The sequence below is a fragment of the Homo sapiens genome, chromosome 7, assembly GCF_000001405.40.
Source record: "Homo sapiens chromosome 7, GRCh38.p14 Primary Assembly".
Classification (NCBI taxonomy): Eukaryota; Metazoa; Chordata; class Mammalia; order Primates; family Hominidae; genus Homo; species Homo sapiens.
This window is the reverse complement of record NC_000007.14, coordinates 30,711,642-30,738,028: the sequence shown is the minus strand read 5'-3', so window position 1 is coordinate 30,738,028 and position 26,387 is coordinate 30,711,642. Positions and strand designations below refer to the sequence as shown.

Genomic DNA, 26,387 nt, shown 5'->3' with positions numbered 1-26,387 from the left:
TGCTTTAAGCAGAACATCAAGACTTCAAAAAGCAAGCATGTACCAGAATGGGATCGATTGCAAAAACGACCACAGATTCTTCCCTTTCCAGTGGGCACAAGTCTTTGCAATATGACTTTGCCTCTTCTTCCATTAGGAGGTAGAGCTATTTCTCTCCACCATCTCCCTGTTCCTAATCTGGACTTGACCACATGACTTGTTTTGGCCATTAGCAAAAGTGATGCAAGCAGAGGTTTGAAAAGTGCTTACACACTGGAGCTTGTCCCCTCTCTTCCTTCTTGGTATTTACCCAAAGAAGTTGAAAACTCATGTCCACACAAAAATTCATGCACAAATGTCTATAGCATCTGTATTTATGAATTGATACAACCTGGAAGCAACCAGGATATCTGGGACTGCCCAGATAAATGCATAACTATAGTGCATCCAGACAATGGGTTATTTTTCAGGACTTAAAAAAACGATGAGCTATCAAGCCATGAAAAGACACAGAGGAAACAAACTTTCTTAATTGAAAGAAGTTGATCTGAAAAGGCTGCTTACTCTATGATTCCAACTATATGACATTCTGGAAAAGGTAGAACTATGGAGACAGTAAAAGATTAGTAGTTACCAGGGGTTTGGGGGAAGGAGGAATGATCAGGTGGAGCACAGAGGATTTTTATTTTTAGGTTAGTGAAACTATCCTATATGACACCACAATGGTGGATATGTGACATTATACATTTGTCCAAACCCATAGAATGAACAACACCAAGAGTGGACCCTAGTGTAGACAATGGAGTTTGGGTCATAATGATGTGTCAACATAGGTTAATTGATTATAACAAATGTACCACTCTGGTGGGGGATGTGAATAGTTGGGGGTGGGGACAGGGAACATATGAGGAATCTCTGAACTTTCCACTCAGTGTTGCTGTGAACCTAAAACTGCTCTAAAAAACAAAGTCTATTAAAAAATAAGCGCTTTCACAGTGGGACTTGTTCCCTTCCTTGCGGCTCTTAGGAACCCTGTGGCCCTCAGCGTATTAGTCCATTCTCACGCTGCTAATAAAGACATACCTGAGAATGGGTAATTTATAAAGAAAAGAAGTTTAATTGACTCACAGTTCAGTATGGCTAGGGAGGCCTCAGGAAACTTACAATCATGGCAGGAGGGGAAGTAAACACGTCCTTCTTCACATGATGGCAGCAAGGCGAAGTGCTGAGCAAAAGGGGGAAAAGCCCCTTATAAAACCATCAGATCTTGTGAGAACTCAGTATCACAAGAACAGCATGAGGGTAGCTGCTCCCATGATTCAAATACCTCCCACCAGTCCCTCCCACGACCTGTGGGGATTATGAAAACCACAATTCAAGACGAGATTTGGGTGGGGACACAGCCAAACCATATCACCCAGCATGTGGGAAAGCCCAGACTGGCCTGCTGGACACTGAGGGCTGTGCCATGCCATTGCCCCAGCCAACATCAAGTCACTGCCAGACATGTGAATGAGGGCATTGCAGACCCCCAGCCCCAGCCAAGATGCCAGCTGAGTGCAGAGAGTAGCCCAACCAGCCCTGACCGCTGTGCTGTCCTGACCGCAGCATGGCCCAGCCAACCCACAGCATCCTGAGAAATCATAAATGTACTAAGCCTCTATTTTGAGGTGAGTTGTCACTACACAAAAATAACTGAAATACAGATAGCTTTTTCAGATAAGGACAGCAGATTGAGCACATTTGAGCCTCGTCCTTCCTAAAACCCCACTAAATGGACAATAAGTAGAGTATTTAAAAGCAATAAACTGGTAATGACAAGTGGGAGAGGAGACAACAGCAACACAATGTTGGAAGCTGGGGAGCAGGTTGATGAGCAGGTACCTTAACTTACCAGGCCAGGGCAAGCTGCATCGTAAGCTTGCCATGGTGGAAGTTGGTAAGCAACTTGACTTCCTCTAGGAAGGTTGCGAGAATGGACTGGCTACTTCTGGAAAGGGTGAGGGTGGGCTGAAGGTGGGCTCCCAGCAGGTGGACTGTTGAATGCTTTGTAGGAAGAAGTTCTCATGCCCTGCCTGTCAGCCCATAGCAGCTGGTGCTCCTTGCCCCACCACACCCAGGACCAAAATCCTGTTCCTTAGGGAAGGCAAAACAAAGGGTGTCTTCGCCAAGGGCCACCAGACACAGTTGACGCTGGAAGCACTGTTCTTGACATAAGAGGATTAGCTGAAGATTTATATGCTGGATATCAACATCATCCGGTGCCCCAGCCTTCTTCCCTCTCACTCTACTCTCTGGTGGACTCTAGGTGTCCTATCCTTACACAGGAGACCAGAAAAGTCTTTTCTAGATAATATAACCAGCACTAGGCCAGGTGCAGTGGTTCATGCCTGTAATCCCAGCACTTTGGGAGGCTGAAGCACTGGGATTACAGGCATGAACCACTGCACGTGGCCCAGGCTGTTCTCAAACTCGTTTTCTCTGCTATTGGACTTTCATCACGTGTATGGCGATCCTCAGCTGCCTGCTCATATTTGCAGTGGGGCACTACGGAGATTAGAAGCTCAGTACTCACTGGGGGTCCAGTCTGGCCCTAGAGCCCTGATGTCGATTTCTCAGATCATTTCTCCTGGGCTGATCAAATTCTTTGGGTTTTGTTTGTTTGCTTGTTTTTGGTTTTGTTTTTGTTTTTTTAAGAGAGACAGTGTCTCGCTCTGTCACCCAGGCTGAAGTGCAGTGGCACCATCATAGCTTACTGTAACCTTGAACTCCTGGGCTCAAACAATCCTCCTGCCTCAGCCTCCTGAGTAGCTGAGACCACAGACACGCACCACCACACCCAGATAATTTTCTTTTTCTTTCTTTTTCCTTTTTTTTTTTTTTGGTAGAGTTGGGGGTCTCACAATGTTGCCCAGGCTGGCCTCAAACTCCTGGCCTGAAACAAGACAAAGGCAACCTGGAAGAAACAGATTGTGCAGGGAGGAGAAAACTTTCTGTAAAGGATCATCAGTGTGCTCTGGGAGATAGAAGATGTTTAATGCATGAAACAAGAACAGGATACACAAACCTGGCTGCTGGTGCTAGCTCTTCCTCCCTGCCTGTCTCGCTCTCCCTGCTCCCTCATTCCTGCTTCCTTGCCTCCTGGGGGCAACCCCCAAACCATCATCTCTCCCCAAGCTCTGGTCTCAGGTTCTGCTCTCAGGGAAGCTGCAGCAGGAGAGCTTGCATTCTGCCGGCATCCCCCTGGGCCAGAGGGCCGTGAGCGTTAAGGTCTTGATAGGCCCAGGAGTTGAGGCAGCAGAGGGAGCTAGGAGAGGGAGGAGCAGGCCCTGCTTGTGTCACTGGGGGTGTTTACACAAAATGCTGCACCAGTGAGCGTCTCTCTCAGCCATTGTCCAGCAAATGCTCACTGACCTCAGTGCTCCTGCTCCAGAAAGGGCCCCTGGAGACCCCGCCACCTGTCCTTCCCATCGCTAGAGCACAGGGGACAGTGGAGACGCAATGTCAAAGACATCCCTGCCTGGGTTTCAACCCTGACCCTGATGCTCAGCTCTGATCCTGGGCAAGTTACCTAACCTCTCTTAGCCTCTATTTAGTCACATGCAAAACAAGGGTAATGGGGGAGATGAAATGAGTTCATATGAAGCATGCAGCACCAGGCCTGGCCCAAGGTAAGCGCTATGCAGTGTTAGCTGTCGGTGTGAGGCTTTTCCCCTAAATCCGGCACACATTCAGTGAGCTCAGAGGAGGAGCCCCCACCCTGGGGGGGGAATCTTGTGATCACACTGGCTCCATCAGAGCGGGGCTGGAAGGTGGGCTAGAGGAAGCCCCGAGGAGGTCAGGGGGACTGGGGAGCCCCCAAGAGGTCAGCGGATCCCTGAGGGATCCCTGAGAAGGTCAGTGGGGTGTGGGGAGCCCATCTGGAGGCAAGGGGAGGGCACAGAGCTTGACCCTGAAGAAGGAAGGCAAGGTGAGCATTGGAGGTTTCCAGAAAAGCATGACCACAAGGAAGGAGGGCAAGTGCCTGGGGTATGAGGGTGAGGAGACCAGCTGGGGCACAGGCTTCATGGGGCATAACAGGAGCGGAATCAGGGACATGAGAGGTGGCAGAGCCAGCCAGTGGAGTGGACTGGATGGGCCGGCGGGCGAGCCGTCCTCTGATGGGCATGGATGGGCCAGCGGGTGGCGGGCATGGATAGGCTGGCAGGTGAACTGTCCTGTGGTGGGCAGCATCGTGCAGGCGGTGTGGGATCCTGCTTCATGACTGCCCTCGTCACAGCAGCCACTGACTTCCCTGGGGATGCACACAGCATGTGCGAGATGGAGCCTGGCACCTGCTCCCCAGCCCACTTGCCAAAAACCGGAGAAGAGTGTATGCTCTGGGAATGACTGAATTTGGAATCCAGACTGGGAGGGTCAAATACTGCATGAATATTTCCAGAGTCCAAGAATCCAACATGCATGTTCACTGAAGCTGAGTGTTCTAAAGACCTCCAGAAGACAGAGGTGTTCAAAGCCAAACAGATTCTCCCAGATCTGGCCAGGCTGCGAGGCCACTGGGCCCCTGGATGGTGCTAGGTGGGTCCTGCACCCCGGCTCAGTGGGCACAGTCAACAGGGGCAGTCAGGGAGGCCCCAGGCTCCCTATGGCCCAGACCACATGCACTGTTGGAGGGTCTGAGCGAAGGACAGGGGTGGTGAAGATGCGCCCAGAACCCCTGCCTAGTGCAGCCGGGAAGGCCATGACCTCCTGCCCAGCTTGCTCTCCCAGCAGATGGGAACCACCTCCCAACAGAAACCAAAGTTGGGATATCTGAGGGGTCGGGAGGTCTCTCAAGGCAGGGTGATGAGGGCTGAGCACAAGGAAGGACAACAGAGTTGCCCCACGTGGCAGGGCTGCCTGGGGAGCCAGCAGAGCATGTAAAGGGAGTGAGTTCCCCACTACTATGGGGTGTGCAAGCAGAGGCTGAGTGGGCTCCTGCTGGGATGGTGAAGCAGGGCTCCCACAGCCCAGCACCCAGTGAGACGCTGGTCTACAGGAGATCACTTCTGGTCCTCCTTTTAGGCCTGAGGAGCTCGACACCTGTGCAGAGGGTGGCAACGTGGCCTGGGTGTGGCTGGTTGCCTCTGGCAGGAGGCACAGCCAGGAGAAGCACCAGGAGAGACCGGAGGAGCACAGCCACTCGGAGCGTCCTTGAGGGCTCCTGTAGAGGCCCGTGTGGGCTGGGGACGGGCTTCCACAGGCAGAGCGGTGACAGCCAAGGAGCTGGGGGCTGGAAAAGGCGGCAGTGGGGAGGAACTGATGTCCTGGCATAGGCACTTCTGTGATCAAAGGTGGCGGGACGTGGGCAGGAGTGGCGTGCACAGCTTTAGGAAGGCAGGGCAGCTGGTGAGATGAGCTACAGTGACAAGAGCTGGAGAAGTACATGGGCCACCCAGCACTGTGGGAGGCCGAGGTGAGTGGATCACCTGAGGACAGGAGTTCAAGATCAGCCTGGGCAACATGGCGAAACCCCGTCTCTACTCAAAATAAAAATAAAATAAAATAAATAAAAAAAAATAGCCAGGTGTGGCACATGCCTATAGTCCCACCTACTCAGGAGGCTGAGGCAGGAGAATCACTCGAACCCTGGAGGCGGAGGTTGCAGTGAGCCGTGAGCTGAGATTGTGCCACCGCACTCCAGCCTGGATGACAGAGCAAGACTCTCTATCTGTCTCAAAAGAAAGAAAAGGAAAGAAGGAAAGAGGAAGGAAGGAAGGAAGGAAGGAAGGAAAGAGAGAGAGAGAAAGAAAGAAAGAAAGAAAGAAAGAAAGAAAGAAAGAAAGAAAGAAAGAAAGAAAGAAAGAAAGAAAGAAAAAGAAAAAAAAGAAGTGCATGGGGTCAGAGTTAGCAGAGCCTCCCCTGCCAGGGCTCCTGGTGTTCCTTCACTGGGAAAGAGGCGGAGATGACTTTCTGTGTTTTTGGAGAAGGGTGGAGCATGTTCTTGGGAAGGTGGATGATTTTTTTTAAATAAATATATATCGATTTTTTTTAACCACTGCAATTGGGGTCTTGCAGTGGGGGACATAGTGTGCACTGAACTCCTCGATGGAAGACTTTCTCATGGAGGTGGCAGCAGTAGGCCTGAGCTTGAGTGGGCAGGCAAGATGTGAGCAGCATCAGGAAGGCAGGACGGGAGCGTGCCTGGGTGGAGAGGACACCCCCTCAAAATACCTAGGGTGGCAGATGCTGACCATCTGCTGAAGAGTTCAGCATGGCTGTGACCGACGGGCCACGTGGCTGTAGACAGAGCGAGCACACATCCTGTAATTAAGCAAGCCATCCATTTCCCGCTGTTAGACTGCAAACTGACTACCCGACGCATTGAGAAGAAAGCAATGTGTTTTTTTCTTTGTAATGATAACTTCCAGATCCCAAGAACAGTGTCAGCTGTCCATTCTGCTAGCCAGCAAAATACCTGCTCCGCCTCTCCCCTGGGGTCCTATGCCCATTTTAGACCGCAAAAGGCATAACTGCTTGCTTTTCCTTCAGTACTGCAAAGGAAGTCATCTTTTCTACCGCGGCAGCAAAGGCAGAAAGCTTCTGAAAACCCAGTCAGAGAGGCCAGCCATTCGGCTTTCAGACAGCCAGATAAGCCCCTCGCTCCTGCCTTGCCGTGGGGGAATGACAGTAGAAAGGTGTGCTGGGAACCCCAAAGTCGTGGGGAGGGAGGGCACCCAGAGTGGAGCCTGCCCACTGCCTCAACTTCCCAACAGCTGGCAAAAAGGGGGAGGGGTCCCCATGCAGACAGAAACTTGAGGACCAGGGAGTCAGCTGCCCAATTCATGGATGGGAAGACTGAGGCTCAGAGAGGGAGGGAGCAGCCCGCGGGTTTGAAGCTTGGTGGTTACCATGTGCAGCAGAGTCTTGGCCTGCAGTTGGGACACCTGGATTCTAGACCCAGCCACATCTCTCATCAGCTGTGTGGCCTTGGGTGAGCTCACATGCCCTCCATGGGTTAAGTGGTTGCAGGAAGATGTTGCCCAGGATCTCCTCCAAGGATTGCAGACCTCTCAGCCCTGCTTCTCCTCTCCATCTCAGCCCCTCTTGCACAAGAAAGGCTTTCATCTCAAGGCTTTGGGCAGGAGAGGTGGACGAGCATCAGCAGTGTGGTGCCACCATGGCTGTGCAAATGTTGGCAGGAGGGCCAGGTACCGAGGGCTGCAGCTATGTTGTCAGCAAGTCCCGACTACTTTCCTCGCCTCAATTTCCCCAGTCACACCAAAGAAGCAAAAGAGGCAGGAAGCTAGAAAAAGCCCAGGCTTAGTCAGAAACAAAGTGCCAAGTTGGAGGCAGGATTTTAGCCATTTTCAGCTCGGCTGTCCCCAGCAGTTCCTCCTGGCCCTACTATTCGCTTCTTCTGGGTCCTGCTCCTTCCTTTGCTTGCTTCTCAGCTCCACTCTATTTCCAGGGGCAGGTTTGCAGAGGAGAAGTCACCTCACCCGCACTGAGGTCCCTCTGCTGAGATAGACATACACCTTTCCTAAGCCATGCGATCCATAAAACAAGGCTGTGAGGTGCTGTATTTTATGCTCTTGTTTGGCATTTAATTATTTGGAAGAGTTTGTCTAGTTTGTCTAATAAGTACACAAGGGCAGAGACTGTCTATGTTTGATGCTGTATCCCCAATGCCTAGCACAGTGCCTGCTGAGTGATTACAACTATCCCTATTTTACAGATGTGAAAGCTGAGGCTCAGAAAGGTTAAGGAATCTGCCTAGGGCCACACAGTAAGCAAGGCGCAGGCTGAGTTTCCATCCTAGCTGTGCCCAGCTGCAAAGCAGGGTGGGTGGATGGGTGAGTGCAGTTGGTTCATGTGCTCAGTAACCAGGTGGGCTCTGTGCACCAGGGTGAAGGAACCAGAGAGGTGCTCCCAGAGTTTGCGTAACCCCATGGACAGACAGACAGACAGACAGACAGAACTGGGCTTGAATCCTGGCTCTGGTGTGCAGGCATCATGGCTGAGCTTTCAGTTTCTGCATGTATAAACTGGGTGATCCTAAGAGCACCCCCTTAGGTTGGGTAAGGATTAGATGAGGGGCTATGGGGAAAAGTGTGTTCTGGGCCCTAGCCTGCAGGGATCTCAGCAAGAACTGCCTCTCATTCCTAGGATTGTCCTTGGTCTGAGGAAAGACCTCGGGGGCAGACATGGTGCTGGCAGACATGGTGCTGGCATGGTGCTAGGAAAATTTCCTCCCACTTCTAGGAACTCCCCTCTGCTGCTGCCATGATTAGGAGAGGTGACCTTTCAGAAAGGCATCCTGTGGTTTTATTTTTTAATTTTTGAGACAAGGTCTCTCTCTGTTGCCCAGGCTGGAGGGCAGTGATATGATCTCGGCTCACTGCAGCCTCAGCCTCCTGAGTGGCTGGGACTACAGGTGCATGCCACCACACCTGGCTAATTTTTGCATTTTTAAAGTAGAATCGGGGTTTCGCCATGTTAGCCAGGCTGGTCTCAAACTCCTGACTTCAAGTGATCCGCCTGTCTCTGCCTCTCAAAGTGCTGGGATTAGAGACTTGTGCCACTGGGCCCGGCCTGTGCTTTTAGCATAAGGGACTTTGCTGCAGGACAGAGCCTAAAGGTCTAGCACACCCTTGCAGCTCTTCCATCGCCTGCCCTCCATGGCGTCCCCCTGAACCCCGAATGCCCTGCTTGCAGTCCCACTCTTCTGCCCTCCCCAGACTTCCCTCCTCTTCCTCCTCCTGTAGCTGGTCCCCACCAGTACTTCAATACCAGTCCCCATCCTGTCCATCCCAGGAGTACTCCCTGAGCCCAGCCCTTAGGTACCCACTGCACTCACAGCTATAGCAATACTTAATCCATGCATACATTCATGCAATAACTATTTATTGAGCAGCTACTGTTTGCAGACTGTGAACAAAGGCAACAAAACAGACAAAATTCCTGCCTTCTAACTAAGGCTTTACCTGCTACACAGGGCAAAAGAAGAAAACCAAGAAATAACTGAAGGTATGTATTAGAAGATGATAAGTTAGGAAAAATAAAGCAGGGAGTGAAGGGGATGCAGTTGAGAGATACGGTTTGCAATTTTAAATAATGCGAGTCTTGCATCCAGTTCCCTAGAAGCAGAGCCTGAGATGAGGATCTGGGCACGTGATGTATGGAGGGAAGTGAGGAAGCGAGGAAGCAGGGCAGAACAGGGGGCAGCAGAGCAGGGACTGGAGTCAGTTTCATTCTGGTCCCACGGGGAGCCCCAGGACATGGATTGCATGCACTCAGTCCCCACTTGAAGCCTGTGCAACCCTGAGTCTGTGAGCCCGTGGTTGTGAGCTGCCCAGAGGTGGAAGTGTTACAGGAAAGGGGTCCCAATCCAGACCCTGATCCAGATCCAAAAGAGGGTTCTTGGATCTGATGCAAGCAAGAATTCAGGGCAAGTCCATAAAGTAAAGTAAAAGCAAGTTTTTTAAGAAAGGAAAAAAATAAAAGAATGACTATTCCATAGACAGAGAAGAACTGAGGGCTGCTGGTTGCTCATTTTTATGGTTATTTCTTGATGATATGCTAAACAAGGGGTGGATCATTCATGCCTCCCATTTTTAGACCATATAGGGTAACTTCCTGACATTGTCATAACATTCATAAACTGTCATGGCGCTGGTGGGAGTGTAGCAATGAGGACGACCAGGGGTCACTCTCTTGGCCATCTTGGTTTTAGAGGGTTTTAGCCGGCTTCTTTACTGCAACCTGTTTTATCAGCAAGATCTTTATGACCTGTATCTTGAGCCAACCTCCTGTCTCATCCTATGACTTAGAATGCCTTAACCATCTGGGAATGCAGCCCAGTAGGTTTCAGCCTCATTTTACCGAGCTCCTATTCAAGATGGAGTTGCTCTGGTTCACACACCTCTGACAGAAGGGGGAAGGTAGAGGAATCTCTTAGGCAAGACAGCTTTCATTCTGCAAGGGCAATGCTATGGTGCCTTCTGGGCGGAGGGAGCAGCTGGGGCACAGGCCCTGAGATGGGAGAGCACCCGGCAAGTTCCAGGAACAGCAAGGAGGTTGGTGCCATGGAAGGAGAGTGAAAGAGGGAGAGGGTGGCAGGAGTTCATGGGTGTGGAGAGCCTTGTGGGCCACTGTAAGGCCCATGGTTCTTGCTGTGAGTGAGGTGGGAGCCATTGAAGGCACTTGAGCAGAGGAGTGACCTGATCTGACTTATCCTTCAAGGCTGGCTAAAGGCGGCAAGTGTGGAAGCTGCTCCCCCAGGGGATCCTGCTCCTCTGCATGGCATCTGCCTGCTGACCCCTGGCCCCCCACTGACCTACACCTAGGACTGTGTGCAGCAGTACTTCCTAATGCTTTATTGCTTGAGGCAAGAGGCAGGGGTTGCAAAGAGAAGGGGGGGGATGAGGCAGCAGTCAGGGGTGGGAGGAAGTGGTTAGGATCAGCCTGGGTCCTGGACGATTTACAGGGCATGTTATTGTGAATAGCAGTCAGAACAGGACTCACTGGAGAATCAAAATCACCCTTAGTCCCAGGCCTCAGCTCAGAGGGCTTTGAAAATAATGCCCCGAATAACTAAAAAGAGACAGTGCTCTCCTCCCTCCTCCTGCCTCCAGAGGGATATTCATCTGCAAATAAATGGAAACCAAATCTAGCAATTTGCATGACTCAAGCTATCAGTGTAAGCTGCCAGGATCTTTGCAGAAGATGCCTGTGGACTGTCGTGTGGTTATACAAATGTGCTGCTCTGAGGTGCCGCCCTGTGTGGCATCTTCTATCTTCTGGCTGCAGAGGCTCTCCCTGCTGTGTGCTCAACAACCTTTGAACCCTAAGTGCTGTCCATGCAGATGAGGCAAAGGGAATTTCCCAGGTAACAAGGTCCCCATCCTTCACTAAGAGGCACACCTCTGTTGGTGGTCGGGGGCTGTCTATACGGGTCACTCAGTAGTTCTCAAGCTCCTCTGACTTGCTGAGTGGTGACGGGAAAGCCCTTTACCTCGTGGAGCCTCAGTTTACCATTTAGGGGAACAGAAAGAGGTTTTCGCTGATCTACACAGCAGGAAGAGGTGCTGGCATTGAATGGATTGATGTGACAGGGCTTCAGCAGGAAAAAAAAATGGCTATGCAAATTTAAGGTGGAATTGCATCATGCAACCTAAAATATCAACAGACACCAGGCTGTTGCTTCTGGGTAGCTGGCAAACCATCTGAAGTCCCACATTTCTTGCCACTCAGCAGCCATTTTTTCTCCGGGAGATGGGGCCATTTTGGTGGGACCAGGAGTCCTGGCCCCAGAAGAGCCTTGAAGAAGCTATGGGGTCCAGGCCCCCACCTTCAAACAGGACCCTGTGGCCTCTGCCCCCACCTGCTGGTGACAGTGGCACTGGCCCAATCACCGCCTACACCATGGCTAGGACACCTTTTACATGAAAGAGGCCAGGGAAACTCTTGGGGCCTAGAAGGCCAAGGGGGAGGTTTCCAAGTTCTCAACCCCTACAGGCTCTCCAGGGGATGGTGGCAGAATAACTACTCTGGGGCCTGCAGCCTCACTTGCTGAACATCACTGCACCCCGGCAGGGCACGGTGGCTCACACTTGTAATCTCAGCACTTTGGGAAGCCAAGGCAGGGAGATCATCTGAGGTCAGGAGTTTGAGACCAACCTGGCCAACATGGAGAAACCCCATCTCTACTAAAACACAAAATTAGCTAGGTGTGGTGTCGCGCACCTGTAATCCCAGCTACTCGGGAGGCTGAGGCAGGAGAATCACTTGAACCCGGGAGGCAGAGGTTGCAGTGAACCGAGATCATGCCACTGCACTCCAGCCTGGGTGACAGAGTGGGACTCAGTCTCAAAAAAAAAATCACTGCACCCCATGTTGTCCTGAAAGAGGCTCAGAGAGGAGTCATAATTCTCAATCTCTCTCTCTCTCTCCCTCAGACACACACACACACACACACACACACACACACACGCACACACACACACACACACACACGGAAGAAGTCCCATTCTTCCCTCACAGCTCTGGGCTCCAGCCACCTTGCCCCGTGTGTCTTCACACATAGAGCTCTCCATCCCGGAGAGGCTGTGACCTCCCCAGTCCCGCAGCCAAAACCAATTACCGGCTCCCAATTAATCAACCCTTTAGGAGACAATGGACTCTGGCAGACCCCGGCCTGCCTGGAAGCATAAAAGCATGCTGGTTTAGATGTTCTGAGCCAGGAGGCTGCAGAGGCCGATTTATCCCCTTTGTGTCTGCTTAAAGGAACAGAACTCTCTAGAATTCCGTACCACCTGCCGGCTCCTAGGGAGCTGGAATCTGATCAGACGAAGTTGCTCTGCAGCTACCTGTCCAGAAGAGCATTGCCTGGGCAAACCTTTCTTTTAGGTTCTTGTTGGAGGTATTGGCAGGCTACAGTAGTAACTGCTGTCAATTATAAAGCACCTCCTATGTTCTAGGTACTTGCTTTTCATTATCCATTAATCCCCACTTGAGTCAGGTGCCATTATCCTGATTTTTAACGAAGGCAATGAAAAGTTGGTGAAGTAAAGAAATTTGCTGAAGCTCATTGCTGGGGTGTAGCCTGCCCCTACACCACCCACTAGAATGCAGCCTGCAGGTATTGGTTTCCTGGTACTGCTGTAACAAAGCACCACAGACCAGGGTGCTTAAACAGCAGAGATTTATTCTCTCACAGTCGCGGAGGCCAGAAGTCCAAAATCAAGGTGCCGACAGAGCCATGCTCCCTCCAAAAGCTCCAGAGGAGGATCCAGGTTCTGGCAGCTCCTGGCATCCCATGGCTTGTGACAGCCTAATTCCAACCTCTGCCTGCGTCTCCATGCATCCTTCCCCGCTGTGTGTCTGTGTCTTCTGTCTCTCATAAGGACACTCATTATTGGAAGGAGGACCCATCCTAGTAATCCAGGTTGGTCTCAAGATCTGTTCCTTAATTACATCTACAAAGACGCTGTATCCAAACAGGGTCCCACTGTGAGGCTGCAGGGAAGGGGCATCACTTTTCAACCCATGACACTCTACAGGGTGAAGTTTTTGTTTTTGTTCACTCATATATTCTAGGACACCAGAGCAGTGCCAGATTCATCAAACATGTTCAATAGATCGTTCCTGAATGGGTGAATGAATCATGACAAAACTGAGCTTCAAAACCTGGCTTGCCAGCCTCCAAAACCTCTTACGTGAGGCTTCCTCCATTTCTTAGGCTCCTAGGCTTCAACAACTCCTCATCGTTACTTTTAAACACCACTTGTTTTCTGAAGCTAATCATGAGGAAACATCAGACAATTCTGAATGGAGGGACACCCTACCAAATAACAAGAGTGGCAAGGTCATGAGAGACAAGGGAAGGCTGAGGAACCACCCCCAATTAAAGGAGAACAAAGAAATAGGACCCGTAAACACAACACCTGATCCTGGAGGGGATCCTGGACAGGGAAAACACAACTGGAAAGGACTTTATTGGGACCACTGGCAAAACCTGAATATGGACCATGTGGCTTAGCTAATAGTACTATGTCAGGGTTCTAGTTCCTGACTGTGATCACCGTACTGTGGTTATGTAAAAGAATGTCCTTGTTTTTAGGAAATGCACATAGAAGTAGGAAGTATTTAAGGCATAATGTACATATATGTGTATGCATGGCTGTGAATATTGTTGTGTATATATTTATACATATACACAGGGCAATGATGATAACACAAAGATGGCAAAATGGCAACAATTGATGAATCTGAGTGAAGGGTAGATGGGAGTTCCTTGTACATTTCTTGCAACTCTTCTGACATTTGAAATTACTTTTTTTTTAAATAATATAAAACTTAAGTCACACACGAACATGCAACAAAATTTACAAGGCAGAAAGGATCCCTAGGCACCCGAAGGCAACCACCACTGTTGCCAGCCTTTCAGGTGTCCTTGGGTGTCCTTGCACTCTTTCCTCTCCTATCGGCTGGAACTTGCCTTCTGACACCCAGTATTAAGCCCTCAGTAGAAGCAGCAGGGGAGGGAGGGGAGCAGCGGAGGGAGGGGAGCAGGGGGTGGAGGGAGCAGCTCTTGAAGGGAAGAGGGAAAGTCCTGTGCTCAACCCTGCCCCAAGGGAGCTGATGAGGCTGCTGCTTTTGTTCTGGGACTCAGGGGCACTGGGTAGGCAGGAGGTAGCCCCTTCCCTGGTTCCCAGGCCCCGGTTCTGGGTCCTGCCCACCCCTCCAGCCCCTGCCCTCATTGCCTCTCCATGCATCCAGCCACTGCCCAGGGTACCAGTGAGGTTCCCCATCAGTGGTCCTCAACTTGGGAGGGCATAGCCCTCTCCAGGGAGGTATTTTCCATTATCAAAATGCCAATGGAGTGCTACTGGCGTTTAGGGGTCAGGACAAGAAATGTGGAAAGTTCCAAATTACTTGTGAGCATTTGAGCCTGCCACCATCCCTAAAGGATGGATCTGACCCAAGTTGATGGAAAAGAAGCTGAGCCCCATCTCCTCCCCCCACCATAAAGCCTTCCATGGCTCCCCATTGCTTTTATAATTCCAAACTTCTCAATGCAGCGGGTCAAGCACCGCAGCCCAGTGGTCTCTGGATTCACCATGCTTGTCCTCATTGTTGGATCTTTGTATGCACTCTTCCCTCAGCTTAGGACTCCTGGCTGCCCCCAAGCCTACAGGTGGGAAATATGGAATGTATCTGGGGAGAGTTCAGTTGAGAACAGATTGAAAATGAGGCAGGATGAAAAGATGGGTTCAGATGAAGGCAATGGGTCTAGCTAGAGGGGCTTAAATGATGTTCTGAAACAGAAAGAAGAGGATCGGGGCCATGGTTGATGGTCTTGGCTTCTAGGAGGGGTGAGGTTCTTCCTGTTCAAAGCCACACAGGCCTCGACCCTTCTTAGAGTCTCAGTCCTCCCTGCCCTGTCTGGTCCTAGGACTAAAGCCAGACTGTTTATTTCCACCTGCACCCATTTTCTCCTTCCCCTCTGCTTCCCTTGTCCTTCCCAGGAGGCTGAAGTGGGCAGATGAGCTCATTCACTACCTCAGAGGTGAGTGACTGATAGGTCTGGGCCCCCAAAGCTGAGCAGGTCACAAGCAGAGAATGCTGGCCTCTGATACCATCATGGCCTTGAGACAGGACCCCCTGCCCTCAGCTCCAAAGGAGTGCAGGCAACCACCTCAATTCCAGACTGGGGCTTCCCCTAGGGTGGTAAGCACCAGGGAAGGCAATATAGGCAGTCAAGCTATAGATAGCATAAGCCCCATTCCACAGAGGACCCTGGCTCAGGGCTCCCCAGCAGCAAGTAAGTGGCAGAGCAGAAACTAGAGGAAGGGGAAGTAGTGAGGAAATGTGATATCTTGGTTTGGATTCCCCAAAAGCAGATCCTGAAACAAGGATCCAAGGTTATATTTTGGATATCCCCACAATAAATAGTGTTGTCCCTCTGAGTAAGTAGAGCTTCCTCCTGCCAGGGAATGCTGAGGGCCAGTGTAGGACACGTGCCTTCCAGTTATCTCACCTGAGGGGCGAGGGAGTGGAGGTAGTTATACATCATTGCCTGCCAGTCATAGATTGAAGGCTGCTCCAGAAACCTTTAAATCTCCAGCCCTTGGCCTGACATGCTTGTGGGGTGGAGACTCTGGCTGTCAGGATAAGTCTTTAGGCAAAGAGTTGCAAATGTTTACAGCACAACAAGGGAAGGGCCCAGGGAGATGTAGGTGGCTACTTCAGCCTCTGCTGCAGGGAGGTAGATGGCAACAGAAGGGAAAACTGTCCAGAGCATTTTCCAGTCTTCTGGTGGATTTCTGATGATGGTATTAAGCCCTCAAGTTTTCCCACTTTTCAGATGATAGCACCATCCAGGCTCACATCCAGCAGACAGTCTTCCAGCCTCAAGAAAGTTTGTTTGAGGCAGGAGAGAAACAGCCCTGGTGGCCTCTGACCCTGGAGTGGTGTTTCCCCAAGAATGAGGCTGTTTTGAGACAGGGTGGTCCTACACTTGAGACTGGAGAGGCAGACCCCAGGCTGACCTGTCACTCTGGTGGCTCCCGGTTCCGTTCCTCCAACATACTAGTGGAACTCATGCCTAGTTTATAGAAAACCCCAAGACCCAGGATGTTGAAGCTGAAGGGCCCTTAACCCAGCCCCAACTGCAGAGATGGAGGGATGAGGACAAGAGAGCAAAGGGGGCATTTCCAGGGTCCCACAGTCAGTCAGAGCCATTGTGTATGGTTTTGCAAGTCGTCAACTAACAGGACAATAATGTCTCTGCAGCCAGTCACAGGAAACTGTAACACAAGTCAGAGTGTCAAGTGAGAGAAAGACCAGCTAAATGGATGAATGTATTCATTTCTGATTGCTGTTGTAACAAATCACCATGAACTTAATGGCTTAAACCCACAAATGTATTCTCTCACCACTCTAACAATCAGATGTCCAAAATGGGTTTGATGGAGCTAAAATCAAGGTGTCAGCAGGGCTGCAATCCTTCTGGAGGTTCTAGGGGACAAACTGCTTCCTTGGCTTTTCCAGCCTGTAGAATCTGCTTGCATTCCTTGCCTCATGGCCCCTTCCTGCATCAAAGCCAGCAACACTGCCCCAAGTCTTTCCCACACTGCCGTCTCTCTGCTTCTCATTCTCCTGCCCCCTCTTCTACTTGTAAGTATTCTTGTGATTACAATGGGTCCATCTGGATAATCCAGGATAATCACCCCATCTCAAGTCAGCTGATTAGTAACTGCTGTGGTTTAAATGTGTCTTCTCCAAAAATTCATGTGTTAAAGCTTAATCCCCATGGTGGTGATATTGGGAGAGGGAGATGGGGCCTTTTGGACAGTGATTCAGTCATAGATTCGTGCCTTGTAAAAGGGCTGGAGGAAACTAGCTTAAGCCCTTTGCTTCTCTGCCATGGGAGCACTCAGGGTATGTCTCCTCCAGAGGACACAGCAACAAGGCACCATCTTAGAAGCAGAGACTGGGCTTCTGGCAGAGACAGTGAACCAGCCTGTGCCTTGATCTTAGACTTCCAACCTCCAGAACTGTACGAAATAAATGTCTGTCCTTTACAAGTTATCCAGTCTCAGGTATTTTGTTACAGCAGTACACACAGACTAAGACTGAAATCTTAATTGCATGTGAACCTTAATTTCCCTTTGCCATGTGACCTAATGTTCACAGGTTCTGGGATTAGGATGTGGACCTCTTCAGGAACCATTCTTCTGCCTATCACAATGGATGCCCAGAGGCCTAAGAGATTGTTTTCGAGCAGAGGAGAGATGACAGAACCCAGACCAGCCCAGAGAAGAAGGACAAGCAGAAGGGATGGGCAAGGAAAGACAAACAACATGGCCTGATTCAGAGACACTGGCTGAGCGAGCAGGTATGCCCTGCCCGAGGAAGTGTGGGTGTGTTTGCTTGTGTGTGTCCCATCTGTCTGTATATCTCTGTATGTGTGCACACACGCATACATGCCCGTGTGTGTGCATGCATGCATAATCCTTCCTTACCCTTCCAACTGTCTCATATCAGACTTCTCCAAGGAGGTAAAATGTGAGCAGGACTTTAAAGGCAGGGCAGGGCAGTGAGCTGGGCTCTATCATCCTGTCCCCAGTAAGCAGGCCTCAACTTTGGCTGGAGGCCATCCCTACTCCCTCCCAGGTCTCACCTCTGCCTAGGTGAGCAGCTCCATAGCCACACAGGCTCTGGGCAGGGCTGAGCTATCCAGGCAGGGATGGAGGTAGAGGGTGGAAATGAAATTTCTTACCACACCAGGCCTGGTTCCTACAGCACTGAGCTCACACAAAAGGAAGGGCAAGCTCATGGTGTCCCACACTAAGGGCAGACCTCCCACCTGGTCTCCAGAAGGAGGCTGAGGCACGTATGCAGCCAGGGTTCTCCTGAGACCCCACATCCAGGTAGCAGGAACAGCACGCAGGCAGGGCTCCCCTGCCGCGAATAAGCAGTCCCCATAGCCAGGAAACATCAGAGTGGACTGAAAACTACAAGACGAAGCCCTCCTGAAGACAGAGAGGCTGAGGCCCAGAGAGGTCACAGGGCTAGGTAGGATAGAGCTGGGGTGGAATCTGAAGTTCCTCTTCAGTTTCTTCTTCCCTCCTTTACAGGATAAGAAAATAACAACAGGGAACAGATGAGGACCCCTGGTCCAGCATGGTCTGAGTACATAGGAAACCTCAATGAATGCTAAATAGTTGGGTGAGTTGATGCATGAATAGATACAGAGAGGGAGGGAGGGAGGGAGAAATGGAGGAAAGGAAGAGTAAATGGATGGATGGATGGATGGATGGATGGATGGATGGATGAATGGATGGATGGATGAATGATGGATGGATGGATGGATGGATGGATGGATGGATGGATGAATGGATGCATGAATGATGGATGGATGGATGATGGATGAACGGATGGATGGATGGATGGATGGATGATGGATGGATGGTGTAGGGAAGAGAAAGAGAGATCAGACTGTTACCGTGTCTATGAAGAAAGGGAAGACATAAGAAGCTCCATTTTGACCTGTACCTTGAACAATTGCTTTGCCCTGAGATGCTGTTAATCTGTAACTTTGCCCCAACCTCTTTGCCCCAACCTTGAGCTCACAAAAACATATGTTGCGTGGAATCAAGGTTTAAGGGATCTACAGCTGTGCAGGATGTGACTTGTTAACAAAATGTTTACAAAGAGTATGCTTCATAAAAGTCATCGCCATTCTCAAGTCTTGATAAATCAGGGGCACAGTGCACTGCAGAAAGCCACAGGGAACTCTGCCCTGGAAAGCCGGGTATTGTCCAAGGTTTCTCCCCATGTGATAGTCTGAAATATGGCCTCGTGGGATGAGAAAGACCTGACCGTCCCCCAGCCCGACACCTGTAAAGGGTCTGTGCTGAGGTGGATTAGTAAAAGAGGAAAGCCTCTTGCAGTTGAGATAGAGGAAGGCCACTGTCTCCTGCCTGCCCCTGGGAACTGAATGTCTTGGTATAAAACCCCATTATACATTTGTTCAATTCTGAGATAGGAGAAAAACCACCCTATGGAGGGAGGTGAGACATGTTGGCAGCAATGCTGCTTTGTTATTCTTTACTCCACTGAGATGTTTGGGTGGAGAGAAACATAAATCTGGCCTACGTGCACATCCAGGCATAGTACCTCCCCTTGAACTTAATTATGACACAGATTCTTTTGCTCACATGTTTTCTTGCTGACCTTCTCCCTATTATCGCCCTGCTTTCCTACTGCATTCCTCTTGCTGAGATAGTGAAAATAATAATCAATAAAAACTGAGGGAACTCAGAGACTCGTGCAGGTCCTTGGTATGCTGAGTGCCAGTCTCCTGGACCCGCTGTTGTTTCTCTATACTTTGTCTCTGTGTCTCATTTCTTTTCTCAGTCTCTCATCCCACCTGACGAGATATACCCACAGGTGTGGAGGGGCAGGCCACCCCTTCATCTGCCGCCCAACATGGGTGCCTTTCTCTAGGGTGAAGGTACGCTAAGAACGTGAGCATTGAGGACAGCCAAGGAGAGATTCCCGAGTATGTCTATGGTCAGCCTTGTGGTAAGCTTGTGTGCTTGGAGGTACCCAGGGTAACAATGGGGCAAACTGAAAGTAAATATGCCTCTTATCTCAGCTTCATTAAAATTCTCTCAGGAAGAGGGGGAGTTAAAACTTCTACAGAAAATCTAATTATGCTATTTCAAACAATAGAACAATTCTGCCCATGGTTTCCAGAACAGGGAACTTCAGATCTAAAAGATTGGGAAAAAATTGGCAAAGAGGTTGGGGCAAAGTTACAGATTAACAGCATCTCAGGGCAAAGCAATTGTTCAGGGTACAAGTCAAAATGGAGTTTCTTATGTCTTCCCTTTCTACATAGACACAGTAACAATCTGATCTCTCTTTCTTTTCCCTACAGATGGATGAATAGATGGGCACTCATCTACAGGATTCTGATACAGTCATGGCATGCACCACATTGTCTCATCTTGGGACTAAACATCCCAGTATGACAGCTAGGAAGGATTCAATTAATCCCTATTCATTAATTCAAGGCAGCATAAGAGATGATCCAGGGTGTGGCTTCAGGAGTCAGGCTGCCTGAATTCAAATTCCTATTCCAAGATTTCCTAGCTGTTCTACCTTGGGAAAGTTGCTATATCTCCCTGAGTCTCAATTTCTCCATTTGCAAAGCAGAAATAATGAGAGTACCAACACATAGCGTGGTTGTGAGAATTAGATTATTTATATTAAGTGCTTAACACAGTGCTTGGTGGATAGAGAAAACTAAAAATAATATTAATTATTATTATAAATTACTATTAATTTCATGGTTGCTTACCGTGTCCTTTTCTTTATTATTAATAATAAGATAACAGAGATACTGCCCAGTAACCCAATTTCCTTCAGTGTTAGAGTCAATGGCCTTACAATGGCCCACAGGGCCCTGCATGACCTTGCTTCATGTCTTGTCTGGCCCTGCCTTCCATCTCCCTCCCTCTTTTCCTCTCTGCTCTTGCCACACTGTGCTTCAAACATGCCAGGCATGCTCCTGCTCAGGCTCTTGGCAGCCGCTCCCTACCAGGCTCATCCTCCAGAGGGCCTCATGACCCACTCCCTCACCTCCTTCAAGTCTTTGTTCTGATATCCCCTTCTCAGTGAGGTCTTCCCCCGCCCCTTTTAAATTGCCCATTCTGCCCTATCCCTGGCACTCTAATCTCCCTTCCTGCCTTAACTTTATCCCCATGGCACCTACCAAGATGTGACTCACCATGCACTTAACTTAGTCATCTTGTTTATTGTCAACTTCCCATAGCAGAATCTCAGATCTATGAGGGCAGTGAGTTATAGCTCTTCTGTTTCCCAGTGCTACAGCAGTGCCTGCGCAGAGTAGGCATTCAATAAATAGTTGTTGAATGAATAAATGATATATTGTGAGGATATTCCAGGCCTTGCTGCCTATGTCCAAAATCCCTAATCAAAGTTGAAAGGAGGCAGACATCCAAATGGAAGTGGAAACAGTTCTCAGAAACCTAGAGAGGCATCATGAAGGAGGTGGCCTTTTCCTTGAGTCTTAGAGGGTGTCCTTAGGTAGAGCTGGGGGTGGGGGACATTCCAGGCTATGGCTGACATCCGCCAAGGCCCTGCAAAGAGGAAGCGTCAGATGATGTGCAGCACAGGGGTCCCTTAAAACAGGCCAACCCTTGTTTCAGGGAGAAAGCTTAGAAAGTGGTACAGGTGACTGTAGTGCCATGAGCTAGGTTTTTGCACAGACTGTAGGGGAGAGTGCCAGGTCAGAGGCAGCCCTGGAAAATCTCATCCCAGCCAGGCAGGCAGACCCAGAGAGGTGCAGCTAGCCTTTCCATCAGCGTGGCAGCAAGAAGGATGGCCTACACTGAGCAGATGCAGAAGTGAGCTTTCCTGCCTGCCCCTTTCTGCACTGAGCCTCAGAACCTCCAGCCCACACTGGAGCTAGAGTGAAGGCACTCAGTTGGGGTGAGTGAAGCCCTTCCTCTAGAAGAGTTACACTCAAAATGGACCCACCTCTTCCACATGGCAGGATGCTGCCCCCTCCAAGCAGGGCACAAAGGAGGCTGCCAAGAAGGCAGAGGCCTGGCCTGGCAGACCCAGCTCTGCTCAGCCCCCACAGATCTGAGCTTGACAAGGGCTGCAGGAAGAAGAAGGGCAGGGCCCTGTGAGTGCTCAGCCTGCACTGAGCCTTCACTCTGGGGTGAGATGGAGGACCCACATTCAGAACCTAGCTTTGCCGCTTAGCTGTGCTGGGCAATACCTTTGAAGTCTCTCAGCCTCACTTTCCTCATCTAGAACAACTGGACCAGGCTGGGTCAATCTGGGGTTTGGAAGTGGGATTCAGAAAAACATTCAGAAACTTGAAAACTGGGGGGCTCAGGGTGCTGTTCTGGGGAAACCTATGGAGTCCATGGACATGAAAAAGCACAGAAAGCTGGTTCACAGGGAGAGGAGGAGGACGCCTGAGGGAGACCAGGGTGCCCTCAGGGAGGCGAGGGAGGTGCAGCCTGGGTTACTGATGGCTCTTCCCAATCCACGGCTGCATTTCCAGCCCGGGGTTACCTGAGACACCCCATGTCCTTATAATGCATTCTCCTTTTTTTCTCAATTTGCTTAGAAAAGATTTCAAGTGTGTTTCCATGTGGGGTAGGGCCCACGTGCTCTTTTACAAAGGGCCCTTGCTACTCCTCTGCTAAAGAGGTGGAAACTATTTCCCCTCCACCCGTCCTGTTGCTGGTTTGCAATGAATGAAGCATCAATGACATTCTGGGCATTCCTGGTCCAGGTATCAAGAAGACCTGGCAGCTTCCACTTTTGCACTCTTGGAGGAGCCAGCTGCCATGTAAAAAGTGTCACTTCCCTGAAACCACTATGCTGTGAGGAAGCCTGAGCTAACCCACTTGGAGAGACCACATAGAGAGAGTTGTCCCTGGCTAGTCCAGCCATCCCAGCCCAGTTTCCAGACAGTAAATGAAGAACCCTTCTTGAATGTTCCAACCCCAGCAGACAACTCATGGAACTGTCCATTTGAAACTGGCCCAATTTTCCCATAGAACTGAAGCTTGAGAAACTTACATTTGTCTTATGAGTTCCTTTCTCAGGAAATCGACCATCAGGCCTCCCAGACAGGATCAAGAAACTGATACATTCCAGATCACCTTATCCAGACAATGAGAGGCCAGACCTCTCGTCTGACCATCTGTTGCCTGTTCACTAGCTCCTCTTCCTTCCCTGCTCTACAAACTCCTAACTTTGGTCAGCGAGAAAGTCAGATTTGAGACTTGTCTCCCATCTTCTGGTGGATGTCACCCATAATAAAGCCTTTCTTTCCTGGCAATACTTGGTGTCTCAGTGATTGGCTTTCTGCGCAGCAAGCAACCTAGGCTGAACCCCTGACATTCGGTAACACGTTGACAGCTGAGCTGCCCCCATTGAGCCCTCCTCAAATTGCAGAAACATGAGCAAATATCTTATTTTTTTTTTACCACTACATCTTGGGGTAGTTTGTTATGCGGCAATAAATAATTGAAGCAAGTTGTAGTCAAAAACACTATAATCCTCACTATGCACATCTATTGGGCTCCTGAGTTCAGACAGTGACAGTTCTGATAGTGAGGGACATCCAGTTAGGAGGTGAGGTGAGGGCCCCAGCCTGGTCTCTGGCTGTGCCACTCTGTCATTCTATGTGTCAGAAATGTCTTCCTCACCTGCACCCCAGCCTGCTCCCATGAACATCCCTCCTGGACTAGGTCAGTGATCTGGAACCTCACAGACAACCTGCCCAGAGCCACACCACTCTTCTCCTCCCTTACCAGTGTCTTTACTAAGCACCTAATTTATTCCACAAGCAGTTCCTCTACCAACGGCCAATATGAAAATATGCTCTACCTCATGAGTAAGCAGAGACATGCCAATTAAAGCAAGAATGAGATTCACCTTCCTGCTTATCAGATTGGCAAAATGAAGATTGAGGGTTGTTATAGACTGGGGTGGGACATATTGGGGGCCTCAGGTGCTGGGAGGCAAGCAATTTGAAGGGTGGTTTAGCAGCATTATTGAAATACAAAGTGTGCATAGCCTCCAATTCAGCAATTCCACTTCTGAGTTTACAACTTGGAGAAATATTTACATATGTTACACAAGGGGGCACATGAAAAATGTTCTCTGCAGCAGAGTTCATCACTGTGAAACTGAAAATGTACCACACCTCCACTAATAAGGGCATGTATCCTTGCTCTGGTACAAAAGGCAGCTGTTAACATAAATGGTATTTTATGCCATATTTATGCCATAACATAGGTAACATATAGATGACACACATGTGATATACAGCACAAAACTACTGGCTTGGAAAGTTCTCTAAGACACATTGCGGAGTGAAAAGAGCATCCATAAAGTATATTTGTGTAAACACCCTCACAAAAAATGGAAATACAAAAATTCAAATGTAAATGCAAAATTTTAAGTGTGGAAAGAAACTCAGGAAACTGATAAGAAGTCTTCTCAGGGGAGGCAGATGGTATTGGGAGGGCCAAGGGGGACATTTGTCTTATTTCTATTTTTTAATAATGATAATGTATTTATGTATTTCTTATGTTATTAAAAATAATTCTTGAAGTAAGTATTTATGAGTGTCCATGGAGCTTCCAAGATAGTGGGGGCAGCTGAGAAGAGTCCAGGCTGGGGAGAGAGCAAGGGCTGGAGAGCAAGACTTCGGGGGCTATAGGAGCACAGGGCTGGGAGATTACCGAGGGCTGGCGCAGTTAGGGAAGGCAGCCTGGAGGAGAACCATCCCCCCAACAAAATGCTGGTGGGAGCTGAGTAGCTGATGAGGAGGACCTGTACAAGCCTAAGCAGGGTGCTTTGCTGCTGGGGAGCTGCATAGGGAGCCTCTGGCTCAGACAGGAAATGGGATTGGGCAACCTTGGAGAGTTTGCCCTGCCCCTAGCCGCCCCCATGCTCTGATTGCTTGGGTTGCTCTGCCTGTGAAGCTAGGTAGCCAGGACCAGGACAGCAGGGATGCAGGACTTGATGGGTCACCATTGCTCACGGCTCAGGAGCGCACAAACACACACACAAACACACACACACACACACATGACTTATTCTGCCCCCAGAAAGACTTTATGCTCGTCCTCATAACATCCAACCATTTTGGCACCCATCCATCCATTGACTCCTCCAATGATGATTGAGAACTTGCTATGTGCCTACTTGCTATGGGCCTAGTGCTGTGCCTCAGCCACTAGCCCTCCTTTGGAGGCCCAGGTCACTACAGATGGAAGGACCCTAAGGATTCATCTAGTCCAAACTTCACCCATTTTATAGATAAGAACACGGCCGTGACTTACTCATAGGAAGCAGGGCCAGAACCAGGACTAGTCAGGTGTCAGGTAAATCCCCTTACTCCCTGCACCTATCCTTTCTACCTACATCTTTCCTTCAACTCTGTATCCCAGACCCACATCACACCTGCATGCAGAGAGAACTCAAAAATATTTGGTTCAACAAATGATTCAGTAAATGAATGAGTGAGTTATGAATAAGTAAAAAATAGGTAATGCTGGATTTCTCATCAGAGAGAAGAAAGAAGAAAGAGATCGTCTTCAGGGATATGAAGAGATTTCCGCCCTGCTCTTCAGGCTGAATCTTGGGTGGCACACTTGTATAGGGAGGAGAAAGGTTCTGGGCAGCTGGAGGGCATGTTTGTGCTTCAGTTCTAGATGTTCACTGGATCAGTATGTGCACATCTCTGCCTGTCAGGCCAGACCCACAGCAATGCTGGGAGACAGGAACTTAGTCCAGGGCAATAGTTCTCAAATGCCAGCTTGCATTAGAATAAACTTGAGGACTTTTAAAACACAGATTGCTGCTCCCCCACCCCCAGAACTTCTGATTCAGTGACTCTGAGGTAGGCCCTAGAGTTTGCATTTCTAGCATGTTCCCGGGTGATGCCGCTGCTGCTGATCTGGGATGGCAGAATTTCTCAATCCTGGCTGCACAGTGGAATCACCTGGATAGCCCTGACCCCAGCAGGTGCTCAGCCTGCATCCTTGACCGACTGCCTCAGAATCTCTGGAGAAGAGACCTAGACGGCAGAGCTTCTCAAACCTCACCTAAGGTGAAGGGCCAGAATTTTCTTTCATTACTGTCAATCAATGGTGGATGAATATTTCTGAGAAATACAACAAAAACAGATCTTCAGAAAAAAATGAAACAAACCATAAAGATCTACAAAATGTATGTTCACATTGTACTTATTAGATTCAGCAAACACAAAACTACTCTATCACTTGCCATAAAAGTTTCTAAACACTTACTCTCAATTTCTGTACTTCTTGAAGGCTAGTGGCCAAAATTTCACAAGTTGGCAGCATCTAGGATCATCCTCTTTTGAGTAGTCCTAGGTTAGAACTTCTGTAATCTCAGAGCCGGTCACAAGTCAAAGATGACCAACAGCTTAACCTAGCTTTCTCTGGGGGAGTAATCTCTTGCCTCTCTATCTATATCTACAGCCTCAAATCTACATGGGCATCAAATCCTCTTCCCTGTATCTATGGGGTTTGTCTTTATAAGGGCCAGAGTTGGGGGATTTTCTGAAATATTTTACAAAACACTGGCCAGGTACAGTAGCTCAAACCTGTAATCCCAACACTTTGGGAGGCCGAGGTAGGTGGATCACTTGAGGCCAGGAGTTCAAGACCAGCCTGGCCAACATGGTAAAACCCCATCTCCACTAAAAATATAAAAATTAGTCAGGCATGGTGGTTCATGCCTCTAGTCCCAGATATTTGGGTGCCTGAAGCATGAGAATCACTTGAACCTGTGAGGCGGAGGTTGCAGTGAGCCAAGATCGCATCACT

At 49.5% G+C, this 26,387-nt stretch overlaps 2 long non-coding RNA genes across 2 annotated transcripts in view, besides 1 other annotated feature; one reads left to right on the top strand and one right to left on the bottom strand.

Annotated features, from left to right (window-relative positions):
• LOC105375220 (uncharacterized) overlaps positions 1 to 26,387 on the bottom strand; it is a 48,157-nt gene that overhangs the window by 7,870 nt on the left and 13,900 nt on the right. The window lies entirely within an intron of this gene.
• Positions 10,157 to 10,658: an enhancer, noted in NCBI's record as "H3K4me1 hESC enhancer chr7:30766987-30767488 (GRCh37/hg19 assembly coordinates)". NCBI's record gives its function as "activates a minimal SCP1, AML or CMV promoter by ChIP-STARR-seq in naive H9 embryonic stem cells {active_cell/tissue: H9 hESC(naive)}" and the evidence as "EXISTENCE:reporter gene assay evidence [ECO:0000049][PMID:30033119]".
• On the top strand, positions 10,742 to 22,861 carry LOC105375219 (uncharacterized). The gene is made up of 4 exons (XR_927156.3): positions 10,742 to 10,849; positions 17,161 to 17,362; positions 18,105 to 18,195; positions 19,913 to 22,861. It is a non-coding gene; the product is annotated as an uncharacterized LOC105375219 (long non-coding RNA).